This window comes from Homo sapiens, chromosome 4 (assembly GCF_000001405.40).
Source record: "Homo sapiens chromosome 4, GRCh38.p14 Primary Assembly".
NCBI lineage: Eukaryota > Metazoa > Chordata > Mammalia > Primates > Hominidae > Homo > Homo sapiens.
This window is the reverse complement of record NC_000004.12, coordinates 118,685,351-118,704,305: the sequence shown is the minus strand read 5'-3', so window position 1 is coordinate 118,704,305 and position 18,955 is coordinate 118,685,351. Positions and strand designations below refer to the sequence as shown.

The 18,955-nt window shown below is 36.5% G+C and overlaps 1 protein-coding gene across 2 annotated transcripts in view, besides 2 other annotated features; it reads right to left on the bottom strand.

Annotated features, from left to right (window-relative positions):
- The window catches only part of METTL14 (methyltransferase 14, N6-adenosine-methyltransferase non-catalytic subunit), a 30,039-nt gene extending 11,125 nt beyond the window's left edge, over window positions 1–18,914 (bottom strand). Inside the window, exons 1-10 of one of the 2 annotated variants that reach the window (XM_047416029.1) lie at window positions 18,706–18,914; window positions 16,295–16,383; window positions 14,849–14,936; window positions 12,694–12,774; window positions 12,238–12,325; window positions 9,780–9,870; window positions 6,983–7,124; window positions 3,664–3,756; window positions 1,371–1,420; window positions 255–371 (exon numbers count right to left, since the gene is read on the bottom strand). In XM_047416029.1, the coding sequence (XP_047271985.1) occupies window positions 284–371; window positions 1,371–1,420; window positions 3,664–3,756; window positions 6,983–7,124; window positions 9,780–9,870; window positions 12,238–12,325; window positions 12,694–12,774; window positions 14,849–14,936; window positions 16,295–16,383; window positions 18,706–18,771 (876 nt within the window). In that variant the 5' untranslated portion in view covers window positions 18,772–18,914 and the 3' untranslated portion in view covers window positions 255–283. The remainder of the gene's footprint in view (window positions 1–254; window positions 372–1,370; window positions 1,421–3,663; window positions 3,757–6,982; window positions 7,125–9,779; window positions 9,871–12,237; window positions 12,326–12,693; window positions 12,775–14,848; window positions 14,937–16,294; window positions 16,384–18,705) is intronic. The other variant, NM_020961.4, reaches the window with a different exon arrangement.
- Window positions 18,376–18,515: an enhancer, noted in NCBI's record as "active region_21849". NCBI's record gives its function as "activates an Ori minimal core promoter by ATAC-STARR-seq in GM12878 lymphoblastoid cells {active_cell/tissue: GM12878}" and the evidence as "EXISTENCE:reporter gene assay evidence [ECO:0000049][PMID:35858748]".
- Window positions 18,696–18,955: an enhancer, noted in NCBI's record as "active region_21848". NCBI's record gives its function as "activates an Ori minimal core promoter by ATAC-STARR-seq in GM12878 lymphoblastoid cells {active_cell/tissue: GM12878}" and the evidence as "EXISTENCE:reporter gene assay evidence [ECO:0000049][PMID:35858748]".

The following is an 18,955-nucleotide window of genomic DNA, read 5'->3' as shown; positions in this document are numbered from 1 at the left end:
TCTAACTTAGAAATATGGCATTTAGGACATGGAGGAATATATACTCCCCTTTCTAGCATGGTGGGGTTGATCTAAGATAATGAATAAAACATTTTAAAACTAATTTGGATGTATTCCTGTAATGCTCAATGCTGTCTTTACAAGTCTAAGAAAAGGACCTTTTCACTGAAGTTAATTAAACAGTATACAGTTATTTGGAAAAGCTTGAGAGAAAATCACAAAAATTAAAAAAAACAAATCAGTAAAGGCAATACCTTTGTTCTCTGAAAGACAGCCTTTGGATCTAAAGTCTTAGTCTTCCCAGGATTGTTTTTATTGGTTTTAATCCAACAAATATCTTCACATCTTCTGTAACCCCATTTTCGTAAACACTAGAAACAAAAGAATTTTAAACACAAATCCTTAACTTAAAGAAATAAACAATACTTAACAATAACAACCAGCATTAAAAAAAACTTTCTAGAGGTTTCAGACACTATATTCCAAGGTTTCAAGGTAATTTTGTTTCAGTGTAGAATATAAAAAGAAATGCCAGTCTTTAAATACATAGCCATAATACGGAATGCATATATATCTTTTGGATATCAATGTCATATATATAGTTAAATATCAAAACATAGAAAGGATTACATCATCTCCCAATTCTACATTCTATTGTCATCAATGGACATGGGGTTTTAAATTGTAAGCACTCAGACCTTCTGTAATCACAAAACAATCCAAAACACAATTTGATTCCTGCCAACTCAATATTCTATTCTCTGACAAAGCTACATACTATTGAAAATTTTCTAAACGCTAACTTCAAATGAGAGTCTTATAAAATCTTATTTCTATTTTTAATACAACTGTAAAAATGTTCAAACTTAAAATTGTTACGTGTATCTCTTTGTTGGGTAAAATGGTACTTTCATCTCTATATAATCTAGAAAACAGAGATGTGAACCTTAATGTCCTAGAAGCTGTTATACATTAACATAAAACAAATACCAGCTAAATGACTGCTCACAGTGACAACTGAAAGTCTACCATATGCCAGTGCTGGTTAGCTGCTGGAAATAAAAACATGAATAAGACACAGTCCCTATCCCCATCAACTTTAAGAGTAAAGGAGGGAAAAATAAACAAATAAGTACAGTATTGCTGGTATGATGATCAAGTACATATCAAGATATAGTAGAGGCAGGTTGGGGGCTAGGGGAGGGACAGCATTAGGAGAAATACCTAATGTAGATTACGGGTTGATGGGTGCAGCAAACCACCATGGCACATGTATACCTATGTAACAAACCTGCACGTTCTGCACATGTATCCCAGAACTTAAAGTATAATAATAATAATAATAATAATAATAATAATAATAATAAAACCTTCCAACAAGCTTCCTTTCCACCACAGGAAATCCTGTTGGGAGTTCCCCCTGAACCAAAAAAAAAAAAAGATAGAGTATAAAACATACACTTTTCAGGAATGCTTATTGGGTAATGTAAGATAACACCTCAAAATGAAACTCAGAATTTTATTTTATTTTATTTTTTGAGATGGAGTCTCACCTAGGCTGGAGTTCAGTGTGGTAATCTTGGCTCACTGCAACCTCCGCCTCTCAGGTTCAAGTGATTCTCATGCCTCAGCTTCCCAAGTGGCTGGGACCACAAGCACGTGCCACCATGCTGTGCTAATTTTTGTATTTTTAGTAGAGATGGGGTTTCACCATGTTGGCCAGGCTGGTCTTGAACTCCTGGCCTCAAGTGATCTGCCCGCCTCTGTCTCTCAAAGTGCTGGGATGACAGACATGAGCCACTGCGCCCAGCAGAATTTTATTTTAAAATCTCCAAAATCAAGATCAATATCTGTTCCTGTTACTAAATATTTATTTTGCACCAGGTGTCATTAACATCACTATGACCTAAATTCTACATGCCCTAATCCACTAATTTATCAAAATCTCATGAGTATTTCTCATGCTGAATTATTTTTTAAATCATTTTTCGCCGAACTCTCACCAGTATGATAAACTGCTACATTAAGTAAATAAGATAAAAACCTCCTGGATGGCTACTCAGGAGGCTGAAGCAGGAGAACTGCTTCAACTGGGAAGCAGAGTTTTGCAGGGAGCCAAGATCGCACCACTGCACTCCAGCGTGGGCGACAGAGCAAGGCTCTGCCTCAAAAAAAAAAAAAAAAAAAGATAAAAACCTTCTAATCATTTTCAATCTAATTTGGGGAATGAAAGGAAAGATCAAAGTCAGATATTAAAGTTAAAACAAAGTAAACACCAATATACCTATAAAAACATGTATGTTTCGCTCTTACTTTTCTATAGCATCTTGAAGAGCCAACACCAAAAAAATGGAGATATCCAACTGAAACACAGTTATAGTTTACCTTGGAGTTAATAAATGATGGAAGCAATGATGTTACCCAACAGCCTTACTATTTATATAAAGAATATACAGTAATTGTAGAATTTCAGAATTTGGGCACAATCTTATTTCCATATAATCATACTTATTATCTCATATAATCCTACTTAAATTTTTCAATTGTCAAATGGATACCTCCCCAAATTGGAATCATTAAATGAGATAGTTTGGTGTATAATAAATAATATGTCATAAAAACGAAGTGTCAACCAATAAAATGTGACAAAATTGAGACCCTCAAGAGTGAGTATCTTTTTGCCCAAAGTCTTACTGTTACAGCATAGCAGCTGAATTGAGAGCAAAATTAAGACTCCTGATACCTAGTCATAATACTGTTGTTATTCTTGTTTAAAACAGCATATATATTATTTTGTTCCTTTTGGTGAAGGCCAATCAGGGCCAGGGGTGGTGGCTCATGCCTGTAATCCTAACACTTTGGGAGGCTGAGGTGGGAGGATCCCTTGAGCCCAGGAGTTTGGGGCCAGCCTGGGCAACATAACAAGACCTCATCTCTACAAATACTAAAAAAATTAGCCAGGGGTGGTGGTGTGCCTGTGGTCCCAGCTATTAGGAGGCTGATGTGGGAAAACTGCTTGAGTTGAGTCCAGGAGGTCGAGGCTACAGTAAGCCACAATTGTGCCACTGCACGCCAGCCTGGGCAACAGAGTTGGTACCTTGTCTCAAAAAAACAAAAAAAAACAAAAAAAAACTCCAATAAAAAAATAAAAATAAAAAAGCTGTGAAATACAATTAAATATCAGATACTTAAAATAAGTTCAGGTATTATAACTTCTTTCTCATTCATTCATGTCTTCCATATGCTGTGTTACTTTTCCAATTTTATTTGACTTCCATTTGGATTTCAGGAGCCAATGCTCCTGAATACTTTTAGCTACTCATAGAACACTTTTTAGCTACTCATAAAGAATTGTAAATGATACCAAGCAGCTCATTTTTGAGGTATAATTTGGAGTTTCAAATCTTTAAGCTGTTCTCTTCCTGTACTTGTAATGAAGTGTCTTTTGAAAGAGCTACACATTCCTCCCTAGTGCTGGTAAACTAACTTACAAGTATTGCCTTTCTTACGTTCTTTTCTGGACATTTTTTTTTTCTCACTATTTTAGAATTATTTAAGAAACAAAGGACAAAATAACATCCACTTTCAAACATCCTATGCAACATACTGTTACATTTTTTTCTTATTAATTTAAAAATCCACTTTATAAAAGCACCATCTTACCACTCTTCCAAGGTCCAACCCCTCCCCAGAACCACACCAGAGAAAAATAAATGATCGAGGTGCTGCAATCTCATCAATTTCTAACTTCATAATCTGTAAGAAATCAAAACGATATTGCATAAAAGTATTTTGTTTCCCATTCATCCTAAATCCAAAAGAACAACAATTAAGATTTATTAGGATAGATGTGTTCTTTAAGTGTATTAGTTTCCATTAGGAACTAACAGAAAATAAATGTTATCCTTAAAATTACTCGTTCTATTGTTTTGTTACTTTATATACAAACAACATACACACCTGTGCACATATATACATATATACACTTGCTGTTATATGGAAAGAGCTTATAGGAAACAATAGCTATAGACTTATGCAATCTTTTAAGATGGAGCTTGAGACAGATTCTCCAGCAATCTTTTATCATTTACTGAAAAAGAATGAAGCACTTAACTAAGCCCAATGTTAGGGACAAAATTAAAATTAAAATATAACAATAAATGTTTCGGGAGGACTGTGATATCCAGTGTCTACAGAAGAACTTCTCAATAAATCAATATACATATTTTGCTACGATTACTACTTTGAGTCTCAAATGCCAAAAAAAAAAAAATTATTCTCTTTTGACACTAATTCTAAAAGTTAAGTGTTGGTACTTTAATGCTTGTGTTCTTAAGTAAAACACAATGACCACTACCGACTCTCTAACATGAAAAAGAATACCTGTGAAACCCAAACATTTTTCTTATTTACATTTTGTTTATTACATTAACTACTGGCACTTCCTTCAGGACGGTATCTCATAAAAGTTAAAGAACTTAGGGCTCTGGGGCCAGACAAAATTTTTCAGTATGCCAGCCAGAGTTGAAGTACAGTGAAATTAAACTGAAATCAAGAATTTGCATATAAAATAGAATTTCTTTATTTTAAAAACTGTATTAGTTTATCACATATAATTGAAGTTCTTGTACCTTCACTGCTGAAACCTCACGGATTGGCTAGAGAAAACAAAATTCTGCCTAATTATTAATAAAGAACATAATCAGATTCATTGTTTAAATTTTTTCTTTTGAGCAAACTGATAAAAAATGGTTTTTAATATTAATATTCAACTTTAATGAGGATATGGCTAACTAGACATTCTTAAACACTACTGAAAGGAATGTAAATTTATACCTATCTGGAAAACTTCTCTGCAAGAAATATCAAGAGCATTAAGTCTCTAATCTTAAGTCTTAGAAATACCACATTCTGTGCACTTTTCTGATTTTTCAACAATAAACACAGATAACACTTTAAACAGGGAAGGGGAAAAACTTTTACATTATAGGAGCCATACAAATATAAATAAAAGTGCTAGGAGTATTAAAGCTAATAGGAAAAGTTTCAAGGAAGAGGAAGAATTAGAGGTAAATCTTGGAAAAATAGATATTATTAAGAGTAGTAACTACCATTAACTCAGAAAGGGACATGCAAAGATTCTAATCCGTTTCCTAAGAAACACGTCTTCCAGTTTCAGTCCTTTCCTTGCCCCACATCTTTTCTAGAAATGCAGAACGGTCCTGATTACACTCTCCTTGAAACTCACTGTTCCCTTGGTTTCCATTACATTCATACTCTCCTGGTTCTCTTCATTCATCACTGAACAACTCGTTTTTAAATTTCTTTTATATGTAGTCTTTAAATGTAAATGTTTTCCCGGCTTTACTGTCAGTCCACATTTTTATCCTGAGACACGATCCCAGGATAAACTCATCTATTTACATGGATTTTATGTGATAATCCTCTAAAATATGTATTTTGAAACCAGATCTGCCTGTCCTTAGAGTTTCATATTTTATTCCTATGACCTCTTCCATTTGAATGTCTCACATATACCTAGAAATCAACTTGTTCAGTATTATTTAACCTCTCTAATCCTGCTCATCTTCTGAAACTCACTCTCAGTTGGTGATAATTCAATCCACCTATCCCAAGATAGAAACCCTGAGTTATCCTTAACTCTTCCCCTCATCCCAATCACTCAATCTTACTAAATCTACCTCCTAAACATTGCTGAATGTATCACCTTCTTTCCATTCCTACTATTACCCTAATTCAGCGTCCCTTCATCTCAGCATTAGGTTACTCTAAGAAAGAGTCTTCTAATTGCTCTCCTTTTTCCAAAATTTTTTTTTTTTTTTTTTTTTTTTTGAGACAGAGTCTTGCTGTGTCGCCCAGGCTGGAGTGCAATGGCGCAATCTTGGCTCACTGCAACCTCCGCTTCCCGGGTTCAAGCTATTGTCTTGCCTCAGCCTCCCGAGTAGCTGGGATTACAGGTACGTGCCACCACACCCGGCTAATTTTTGTATTTTTAGTAGAGATAGGGTTTCACCATGTTGGTCAGGCTGGTCTCTAACTCCTGACCTCGTGATCCACCCTCCTCGGCCTCCCAAAGTGCTGGGATTACAGGCATGAGACACCACACCTGGCCATTTTTCCAGAATTCTTTCCCAGACTCTAGCCCAGCTTCCAAACACCAATCTGACCTTTTTACTAAACTGGTTAAAACTCTTCAGACTTATTAACGTCTTCAGAATAAAAGTCCCAACTCCTAACACATCACCTCAAGATAGTCCCAATCTGTGTTCCAACAATACCAACCTACATACAGGACCTCCACCCCACAACCAGATAGTCGTTTGCCTCCATCCCCTCTGTTCTTGTTGTTCCTTCTGCTTGTAACCGCCGTCCCACATCTTTCTTGGCTAATTCCAACTAATCTATTTATATTGTTCAGGTGTCACCTCCTCTATGTTCCTATGTCCCATCTACCCAGGACTGGTCAGTTGCTCTCATGTCATCTTATGCAGGACTCCATCGTTTAATCAACAAAATTGTAATTATGTGTCCATACAGGGTGTTTATCCATACTTTACTACACTGTAAGCTGTTTAAAGAGTAGAAATCATGTTTTTATATACATAAACAAGCTCTGATGTTTACTGAAACTAATCAAATGCAGAATGAATTATGAATCATTCCATCTGTTTTTAAACTTCTCTAACTATATAGCCAAGGACTCTAAGACCAAAATTTTAAGTCTTCTACAGCCTATTCACTTGCTATCTGCTCAATTTTTGCCTTGAAAAGAAGGCTCAAATTAAAGATAATGTAATATTAGTCAATGTACCTTGGACCTTCAGCTATAATTTACACTATAAATCTACATTTATAATCCCTACAAAAGTAGGGATGATATTTATTATCTCACTTTCTGACCAAATAAACATATTCATTTGAAAATAAATAATTCATTACAATGTAGAAAGTTTGATCATACATCATCCCAAGTCCAGCATTTTTCATTAGCAGTGATGCCAGTTTCTCTGTAATATTCTTCTAAAGGGGGTTCCAGAAGAATCACATCAAATTTGGGTGTTAGTTCTCTGATGTCAAAGGCTTCTATATCGGCTTGTAAGTACCTATTTGATTAAAGCATTAAAAATGAGGTTTTTAAAAAAATGCTTTTTAAATAAGATTTTCAAGTACCTTAACAGATGGTAATGAAAGAAATGTCTTAGATATCACTAAACATTATTACTAAACACTATTTACAAAGTAATCAGTAACCTAATTACTAAAGGCCTTTTTATTGAGTCTTTTTTTCTTCAGTATAGACTTAAACGATCTACCAGTGATCTTTCTTAAGACATGAACGTAATTAAACTACATAGTAAAAGTCCTATTTTCCCCATGTACACCCAGAATATATTCTTCTCTCAATATTAAAAATCCATACTCAGATGTGTCTCTGAACCCCTTTCCCTTCTCATCTGAATTTTCTAAGGAATATCACATTGTTTTATTCTCAATTGTTCAGTTAGAAAACCCATTTCTCTGTAAGCTTTAAATTCTTCCCCCAAAACATAGTTTTCATATAGTTTTCTTTTATTAGTTTTTTCATTAGTAAAAATGTTTCTATTAAGAGTCTTTTCATGCTACCTAATATAAGTTATTACTGGCCTTTACTGAAAAGTTATTGTCACATAGCATGAAAATATTTTAAATTTAAAATACTTTAAATGTAAATGGGTTTTCGTTTGTTTGTTTGTTTGTTTGTTTGAGACAAGGTCTCACTATATTGCTCAGGCTGAATGCAGTGGCTATTCACAGGCCTGATTATACAGTACTACAATCTCAAACTCCTGGGCTCAAGTGATCTTCCCACCTTAACATCTCATTAAAGGTGTATTTTAGGCCAGGCATGGTGGCTCATGCCTATAATACCAACACTTTGGGAGGCCAGCGTGGGAGGATCAATTGACCCCAGGAGTTTGAGACCAGCCTGGTCTCAAAATAGAGACAGTGAGACCCTGTCTCTATTTAAATAAATAAATAAGTAAATAAGCAAGAAAGTAAAGGTGTATTTTAAAATACGATGAATATTAGAGTATACTTAGACTTCCTCTCCACATACTAAAACATTCTGTGGTGCTTCTAATGACTTACAGAATACAATTTTTTTTTTTTTTTTTTTTTTTTTTTTGAGACAGAGTCTCACTCTGTTGCCAGGCTGGAGTGCAGTGGCACAATCTCGGCTCACTGCAAACTCCACCTCCTGGGTTCAAACTCCACCTCTTCTGCCTCAGCCTCTGCCTCCCGAATAGCTGGGACTACAGGTGTGCGCCACCACACCCAGCTAATTTTTGTATTTTTAATAGAGACAAGGTTTCACCATGTTGGCCAAGACGGTCTTGATCTCTTGATCTAATGATCCGCCCACCTCAGCCTCCCAAAGTGCTGGGATTATAGGTGTGAGCCACCGCACCCGGCCCAAAATACATTTTATCATATCATTAAATGTACAAAACCTTCAAAGCTAAATTCTCCAATTTCAAAGATCTCATATACATTTCTGAGGAAAACATTATTCTGCTTAGCAACGGTTGAAATGAATTATCATATTCCAAATTGTTAAGAATAGTATCTCAGAATGCTAAGCTGTAATTAATATTTGTTTTCTTCCTTTCCTGACTCTAAGTTTTCTAAGCTTCCTTTAACAAACAAATTACTTGACAAGAAGTCATTTAAAGGCATTTTAAGTAAGCTATCAAGAATACGGAGTCTCACTCCGTCACCCAGGCTAAAGTGCAATGGTGCGATCTCGGCTCACTGCAACCTCTGCCTCCTAGATTCAAACGATTCTACTGCCTCAGCCTCTCGAGTAGCTGGGATTACAGGCGTGCACCACCATGCCCAGCTAATTTTTGTATTTTTAGTAGAGACAGGGTTTCAGCATGTTGGGCAGGCTGGTCTCAAACTCCTGACCTCAGGTGATCCACCTGCCTCAGCCTCCCAATGTGCTGGGATTAGAGGGGTGAGCCACCATGCCCGACTTGGATGACTTTTAAGAAGAAAAAATATTTAGAGGCACTTTAAGCAAATTATCTGAAAAGCTGAAAAAAAACTGAGAGCCCCCTCTGAACTCAGCACCAGAGCTTCAAATTAACATTTTTGCTATAACGAAGAAATAGGGCTCAGTACGCTGGCTCATGCCTGTAATCCCAGCATTTTGAGGTTGAGGGGGGCAAATCACCCAAGGTCAGGAGTTTGAGACCAGCCTGAGCAACATGGTGAAACCCCGTCTCTACTAAAAATACAAAAATTAGCCAGGCATGGTGGTGTGTGCCAAAAATTAGCCAGGCATGGTGGTGCGTGCCTGTAATCCTAGCTCTTCAGAAGGCTGAGGCATGAGAATCACTTGAACCCAGGGGGCGGAGGCTGCAGTGAGCCAAGATTGCGCCACTACACTCCACACTCTAGCCTGGACAACAGAGCAAGACTCCATCTCAAAACAAAAAAAGAAAGAAAGAAAAATAGAGCCAGGAGTGATGGCTGAAATGCCTGTAGTCCAGGTGAGGTGGGAGGATTGCTTGAGCCCAGGAGATGGACACAAGCCTGGGCAACATAATGAGCACCAGCCTTTAAAAAACAAAAAGGCAGAGAGAAGAAACAGAGTAATAAAGCATGTTAACATAAGTGCTGAATTTAGGAAGAAGAAAAAAGGTTATAGGATAAACAAACTGATACTTTAAGCCTGAGTTGGGAATAAACAGTAATTGAATAAAAACACTTACATGGGAGGAGTGTTAGATTTAGCTATTAACTCATCCTTTAGCCTGATGAGCTCCCTCAGTTTAGGATATTCTTCAAATCTGTCAGCTAAACCTGAGCAGAAAAAATAGTAAATTCTGAATTCATCTCAACTGAAGTTAATATCAGTAATTCAAAAGTTATGAGCCCTCCCAAGAAAACAAAATAATACACATGCCACTTGACTCATATCTTTTAAGGAAGCTTAACTTCTAATAATTTTAAATAATATGTATGCAGATTTCATAACTAATGACATGCAAGTAAAAACCCAGATGTTCTAAAACCCAGTCCAAGTCAATAAGCCACTTAATATCACATATTTATTAAGTTAAACCATTACCCCTAGCATCCAGTTTAACATTCAGGAAAAAAAAAAAAAAACAACTACCTTTCTTGTGTGATTCTTTTCCCCCTTCCTCTTAGCTAAAAAAAAAAAAAAAATCCTTATCCTAAAGAACCTGATTGTTAAGATTTTTACTTAATTTCTTGGATAGTTATTCAAAGCAAAGAAAATGAGTGTTTCTTTTCTTCCCAAACAGGAAGCACATTTATAACAACATAAATTATATGAACTTCCTAATTTAAAAACCAAAAGTACAAATATTAGTAACTTTAATATCAAAGAAAAAAAGAAAATGATTTTGTAAAGCTTCCTCAGTCAGTGGTTGCAGATCACATTTCAATTAATGAATTTGAAGATTTTATTATAGTCAAATTTCAAGACAGCAGAGTCAGCTTCTAATCACCTATAAAACAGAAGGTACAACTTTTCCTCAATCTGTAATAGTTTTCTAAGTATGTTTTCTTTGCCTTGGGGAGGCAGGTATCCTAAGAGCAGAGCAGTTTATATCTAAATCTGGTTATACAATTTAACCATAAATTTTTATGCTACATCTACATTTTGCTTATAAAAACATTAAAATTAGTTTCTCTACTTCAAGAGAAATGTTGCTTACAAGTAACAAAGGAAAAACTAAATTTGATTATATCAAAAATAGAATGTTTGTGCTACAAAATATACTATCAAGAAAGTCACCCACAGAATGCGAGAAAATATTCGCAAATTATTCATCAGGTTAAGAGACTTGTACTCAGAATATGTAAAAAATACACACCCACACCCACACACAAAGAGAATATATAAAAGACTCTTGTTATTCAATAGTAAAAAGACAGTGAAATAATTTAAAAATACACAAAGTATTAGGATATTTCTCTAAAAAAGATATTTAAATGGCCAATAAGCATAAAAAAAGATGCTCAATATCATTAGTCACTAGGCAAATGCAAATCAAAACCACAGTAAAATACTACTTCACACTTTCTAGGATGGCTACAATAAAAAACAGATAATAGTAAGTGCCAAAGATGTGAAGAAATTGGAACCATCATACGTTGTTAGTAAAAATGTAAAATCGTGCAGCTGCTTGGAAACACAAGAGAGTAGTTGTCAGAAAGGTAAACATATACAATAGCATATTACTTGGCAATTTAAAAACATGAAGTACAGGCACATGCTTCAACATCGATGACCCTTAAAAATATGCTAAGTGAAAGAAGCCAGTGACAAACCACCACACATTGTATAATTTCATTTACAAGAAATGTCCAAAATAGGCAAACGTATAGAAATAGAAAGTAGATCAGCAGATACTTAAGGCTGAGAAGGGGTAGATGAGAGAGAGGAAATGGGGACTGACTGCTAATGGGTACAGGGCTTCCTTAGGGGAGATGCAAATGTTCTAGTATAGATTGTGAAAATAGTTGCACAATTCTGTGGATACATTAAAAAAAAACTCTTTTGAGTGAATTGTACAGTATGTAAGTATTATCTCAATAAATCTGTCTAAAATGCAAGAATAGGCATAATACCAAACTGGAGCCAAAAAGAAACAAACAAAAAAATAGTAATATCGATTATAGAAAAAGAAGGTATACAGGGCCTGGAGCGGTGGCTCACGCCTGTAATCTCAGCACTTTGGGAGGCTGAGGCAGGCAGATCACCTGAGGTCAGGAGTTCCAGACCAGCCTGGCCAACATGGTGAAACCTCGGGAGTTCCAGACCAGCCTGGCCAACATGGTGAAACCTCGTCTCTACTAAAAACACAAAAATTATCTAGGCACGGTGGGGGGTGCCTGTAATCCCAGCTACTTGGGAGGCTGAGGCAGGAGAATCGCTCGAATCTGGGAGGCAGAGGTTGTAGTGAGCCAAGAGAGATCACCCCACTGCACTCCAGCCTGAGCAACACAGCAAGGCTCTGTCTCAAAAAAAAAAAAAAAAGAAAAGAAAAGAAAAAGAAGGTATACCAGAAGCACTGAGAACGAAAAAAAGATGTCAAGCTGGAGAAATAATTTTGTTAGAAATATCCACAAATTGGATAAATTACATGCATGTAATTGAGAGTCAGCAATAGCGTAGTCCAAACAAACCTGACATACCTACATCCCTGATGAAATTCTGAGGTCTATGTCCAGTGTCTACAAAATGTTGGCAGTAATCATTATGGGGATTTAAGCTCTGTGTTCCCTAAATTAAAAAACAAAATTAAATTTGTAACATGCATTGTAATGGCAGATAAATTATCTCTGTACTGTTTTCTATTACAAGGTGATATAAAATGCAATCAATTGATAGATTTAAAAATTAGTAATATTTGAAAATACAACTAAAATTATTACTTTTCAGTAGCTACTGATATTAATATACTGTTACCTCACACTAAATAGCCAAATATCAGAAGACTATTTCATGAGTAATTTTAAATAATCTTTATTTTATAACAATGATCCCTCAATAATTAAAAAACATCTTGAAGACAAACAGGTATTTAAAATCTTTTCAGGTATAGAACTTAAATATGAAGAGTTACAAAATTTGAAAATTATTTATTTTACCTTAAGAAAAGTACTAGAATCTTTGTAAATCTCTTCTTCATATGGCAAATTTTCTTCATCCTGTTGCATTTCTAGTTCATCCTTGAAAAACATAAGATTAAGTAAATATTTTACAAATAGGGGTTATTTCTCTATCACATCCTGATTAAAACTCAACATATTTTATTTCCTTAAGATTTAATAAATGTTTTAAATTAGCATTAAAATCAAACATTGAAGTCTTTGCTTTCCCATTATTAGATCTAGCTAGCTGATTATTTTCATAAAAAAATTTCCTATCATAAATAATTACTGTAACTACTATTTTGCTGATTGATTTGTCTAAAACTATTTATCTCATATACAATACTATAAGTGTTAGAGTCTAGTTTGAGTCATGAAAGATACGACCACCAATGTTGCAATATGAAACTGCTATGCTTAAAGGTCAAAAAGGTTAGAATATCAGCAACTGCATATAGTTCCACCTAAAATAATCACTAACATTTTAATTAATAAAAAAAAAAGTCACAAACATTTAAGTTACATATTATCAGAACTGCAACATATAAGACAATATTCACGAGATTAGGTATTATTTCACTGAACTTTCTAGAGATTTTATTGAAACTATACATTCTTATCTCTATTATATACAATTAACTTGAAAAAACAAAAGTAAGTTTTTTGGACCATAATACTTTCAACTATTTCAACTAAATATTGCAATTACAAGTTAGAAGTTGGGTTTTTCTTGAGCCTCTTTCAGAAATATTTCTACAATGTAGTCCAGGCCATAAATCCTAAAAATATCTTGATTATACTATCCAATATTGTTAACATGGAATAACAACTCCTCAAAAAAGCTTCTCAAAATCTGATCCAAAGCTACTGCAGCTTCTCAAAATCTGATCCAATCAATTACCCAAAGTTTTGTGTTTTTTTTTTTTTTTTTTGAGACAGAGTCACTCTGTTGCCCAGGCTGGAGTGCAGTGGCATGGTCTCAGCTCACTGCAACCTCTGCCTCCCAGGTTCAAGCGATTCTCCTGCCTCAGCCACCTAAGTAGCTGGGATTACAGGCGTGTGCCACCATGCCCAGCTAATTTTTTGTATTTTTAGTAGAGACAGGGTTTCACCATGTTAGCCAGGAGGGTCTTAAACTCCTGACCTCAAGTGATCTGCACATCTTGACCTCCCAAAGTGCTGGGATTACAAGCGTGAGGCACCACACTGGGCCCAAGGTTTATGATACACTTATATCCTCAGTCATCTTTAAGAATATTATTGTCTACTGCTGGCCAGGCATGGTGGCTCACGCCTATAATCCCAGCACTTTGGGAGGCCGAGGCGGGTGGATCATGAGGTCAGGAGTTCGAGACGAGCCTGGCCAATATGGTGAAACCCTGTCTCTACTGAAAATACAAAAATAGCCGGGCGTCGTGGTGCGTGCTTGTAGTCCCAGCTACTTGGGAGGCCGAGACAGAAGAATAGCTTGAAACCAGGAGGCGGAAGTTGCACTGAGCTGAGATCACACCACTGCACTCCAGCCTGGGCGACAGAGTGAGACTCTGTCTCACAAAAAAAAAAAAAAAAAAAAAGAATATTATTACCTAGTTCTTACCAGACATTATGCTAAGTGCCTCATATATATAACCTCATTTAATCCACATAACTCTTGCATTAAGATAAGAAAACTGGCAGGGCACGGTGGCTCACACCTATAATCCCAGCACTTTGGGAGGCCAAGGCAGGTGGATCACCAGGTAAAGAGATCAAGACCATCCTGGCCAACATGGTGAAACCCTGTCTCTACTAAAAATACAAAAATTAGCTGGGCATGGTGGTGCACCAAGTCCCAGCTACTTGGGAGGCTGAGGCAGAAGAATCCCTTAGAATCCAGGAGGCGGAGGTTGCAGTGAGCCGAGATTGTGCCATTACACTCCAGCCTGGCGACAGAGCGAGACTCCGTCACAAAAAAAAAAAAAGGAAAAGAAAAGAAAAAGATAAGAAAACTGATATAATGGTCTTAATGTAACTGGTGATAACATATGCCACTGACAATTATTTTAGCACATCTTAAAATTAGGCTTTCCATCAAATTTGTTTTCCTGGATATGAATCTATCATTTGGATTTATGTTTTCTTTGACCATAAACTTATTTCACTCTCTACTTGCCTTATATTCTTCCATTTTGTCTTCATCTGTCTCTCCTTCATCCAGATACTTACGTTTTGCATTTGGAGCAGAGGTATCATAGGAAGCCCTGAAAAATAAACAGAAATATTACCCATAAATATATACAAGATGTATAAATGCATCTATTAATAATAATAAACAGGTTATAAAAACAGAACAAGACAAATTTTTCCTGATTAAAGAATATCTATCTACGCAGTTTATAAGTCATCCAAAAAGTCAAATAACCTGATTGATAATTCTGTGTTTCATTTTTATCAGAAAGCAACCAAATGAGAAAATAAGCTGCTATAAGGGATATATTGAAAATAAATTTATATAGTATGTATTATTTTAATCTGTTTTGAGCAAAACAGACGTACAAATTGAAAACTAGAATAGCGAAAAAATTTTGAAATGCTTTCTGAACTACCAAATAAATACCACTTTTAGGATAAAGTATATTTTCTTTTATAAAAATTTTTAGGCTGGGCATGGTGGGTCATGCCTGTAATCCCAGCACTTTGGGAGGCCAAGGCAGGCGGATCAAAAAGTCAAGAGATCGAGACCAGCCTGGCCAACATGATGAAACCCCATGTTTACTAAAAATACAAAAATTAGCTGGGGGTGGTGGCGCGCACCTGTAGTCCCAGCTACTGGGGAGGCTGAGGCAGGAGAATTGCTTCAACCCTGGAGGCGGAGGTTGCAGTGAGCCGAGATTGCGCCACTGCACTCAAGCCTGGTGACAGAGCGAGACTCTATTTCCAAAAAAATGTTTAAATATACTTGTTTATTTATAGTATATATGCTAATTCTTAGTCTAACATTCCATTTTCTAAGTACTTTACAAATGGGAACTTACTATCCTCAGAAAATAAATATTTTATAATTAATGAACTGACAATAAAAACCATTGTGTCTAAAATCATTATTTTGATGCTTTTCTTAATACACTGCATACCTACCTAGGGTTATTTATTAAAACAGTAATCCTTTCACATTTTTTTTTTTTTTTTGAGACGGAGTCTCACTCTGTCTCCCAGGCTGCAGTGCAGTGGCACAATCTTGGCTCAGCTCACTACAATCTCCGCCTCCCGGTTTCAAGCAATTCTACTGCCTAAGGCTCCCGAGTAGCGGGGATTACAGGAGCCCGCCACCATGTCTGGCTAATTTTTGTATTTTTAGTAGAGATGGGATTTCACCATGTTGGCCAGACTGGCCTCGAACTCCCGACTTCCTGGGCTCAAGTGATCCACCTGCCTCGGCACAGTGGCTCATATCTGTAATCTCAGCACTTTGGGAGGCCAAGGCAGGTGTACCACTTGAGCCCAGGAGTCAAGGCTGCAGTGAGCCATAATCATGCTACTGTACTCCAGCCTATCCAGCCTAAGCAACAGAGTGAAACCCTGTCTCAAAAAAAAAAAAAAAAAGAATTATCTGACTGACCTGCAAGTTTCTCTTGTTTCAGCAATTTCTCTCTGCTCATCTTTGCTATTTAACACGGCACCAATGCTGTCGGCACTTTCAGCTCCCAACTGAGAAAAGACAAAATCAGAAATTAGATTGCAATGCACTGGATAGCCTTTCTGGGCATTTGTAGCAGCATTTAATACATTAAATACTTAAAAAACAAAAACACCTTAATTCACACACACACACACACACACAAAACAATGAATTAATCAGCTTGCAAGACAAACTGGAAAAACTCTGGAAAAAAACCGCATTAATTAAGATGAGTTTGACAGCTGGCAAAACATTTTATGCTTTCAGTTATACAGCGGCTCCTTGATTTATGATGAGGTTATGTCCTGATAAACCCATTGTAAGTTGAAAGTAAATCTGTTTCAAAATAAACGTTGTAAGTGTGTTTTCAAGTTACAATATTTTCCACTTATGATGGGTTTATCAGAACACAACTCCACCGTAAGTCAATGAGCAGCCTGGATGCCTATCACTCTCAAACCATCATAAAGTCAATTGTTAAGTCAAATGATAGTAAGTCTGGAACCATCTGTATTTGAAAATAAGACACTTTAGCCAATTTCCTGTGAAGCAATACACACGATTTAATATAAAATGAGCATTCCAAATCTGAAAATCCAAAATCCAAAACGCTCCAAAATCTGGAACTTTTTGAGTACTGACATGACATTCAAAGGAAATGGTCACTGAAGCATTCCGATTTTGAGTTTTGGTATTTGGCATGCTCAACCAGTAAGTAATATGCAAATATTCCAAATCCTGAAAAAAATCTGAAATCCAAAACACTTCTGGCCCAAGCATTTCAGATAAGAGATATTCAACCTGCAATAGCAATAACTAAAAAAGGCAGATAAGACAGTGTTTGCACAGGGTTGTGGGTACCATGTTAAACATTTTGTAGGCATCAGCTTATATAACTTATTTATTCTATGCTCTAATAAAAATCGATCCAGTTTTACTCAAGCTAAGTCTTACTATTTATAGACACAAGGCTGAACTTTACTACCTTAAAATGGTAACATAAATTTTGTTTGGCAGTTTGGAAAATTTTGCAAAATACAAACAAATGTAAACAAATAATGGTTATAAGGCTGGCTAAGTAGAGTGCAACCAATTCATAAAAGACTTTAAAAGGTAGAGCCCCTGGCATCTGCTGAGTGTAAAACACTAAACAAATAATTGTCCTATGAATGTATATTGAGTCAAATAGAAGTTTGAATTCAATATTAAGGAGTAAAACGTCTTCTGTGGTAGCAACAAAGAGCTACTTAACATTTTTGAAGATAATACGATAAAAGAAGTTGGCGAAAAGAAGACTTAGAAAGGATACTTGATTTGCCCAAGATCGTAATGCCAGCGGGATAAGGAACAAAGGAACAAATCTGACTCCAAGTTTCCACGGTTTTAGCCATATTCCACAAATCTGTTCATCAGACCATAAAGAGGATAGGTTTCAGAAGTCCATTTACTAAAACCAAGTTTCATTACTGAAAAATAACTGCAAGATGACTAATTACACTCTATGAGCATTGCTCCTATCACTTTTACTGATCTGAATAGTAGAATGGAAAATACAGCCTCGATTTTAAGTAGAACTGTGCACAATCTGTATTTTCTGCATGTGCACTCTACTAATCAGCAAATGTTAACTTACTCATACACAAGAAAGAAGTGAAGGACAATGGTTTAGAAGACAAGCTTTGGGGAGACAAACCTAGGTTCTATTTCCCAGCAGAGAAGTGAGCGACCAGGAGTAAAATTCCTTAACGTATGGAGCCTTTTTCATTACTTGATAAGTGAAGGTAATAATACCTGTTTCAGGAGATTATTGTGACTAACACAGAGTAAGATTTCAAATATTAACTGTGGATGTGACAAGGATACTCTATATAAGATGCAGAATCTAAAATTTACACTCAGGCTACTTCCAGTGTTGTCTTCAGAAAGATGTCAAAGAAAATACTGTAAACGTATTTCATAATGAAACCACAATCTCAAGAATTTGGGGCTGACGACGAAGAAAAGAAAGAAATAGATGACCATTTAATAGTGAAGAGAAATGTAGGGGATAACATGACACTCATCCTGGCGTGAACATGCCAGACACTCGGTGGGAGTTCCACAAAGCTTAAAGGCTAATCCTGGCATTCGGTTTAGCACCACAAAGACCGCGGAAGGAACTGGAAAAACATTCGGGACACCGCGAAAATTGAGAACTACAAAGGCAGAACCAGGGATCAAGATCGCAGGACCAGAAAGGCCTTAACAGCGGCAGGTAGAGAAGGGACAGAAAAAGGCGGGGTGTGGAGGGAGGAGGCGGCCGCGCACTCGCATTCTCGATCCCTCCCACAGGGGACACCAGGGCCGCGGACCTGCTGCGCGAGGAGCTGTCGCCGTAACTTCTGCCGCTCCCGGATCTCCTGCAAGCGGCTATCCATGTTCCAACTCCGGCTTTTCACTATCCCGAGTACTTGTCAATCTCCAGTGAACTCTTATCCAACCTTTCTTCCGAGTCTGTGGAACAAAATTCACCGGGAGCTTACGAACAGAGTATCCTCATAGCTTTCCTCAGTAGAGACTTCCGGCGCGGCCGGAATTGGCTCGCTTGGCCCGGAAGTCCCG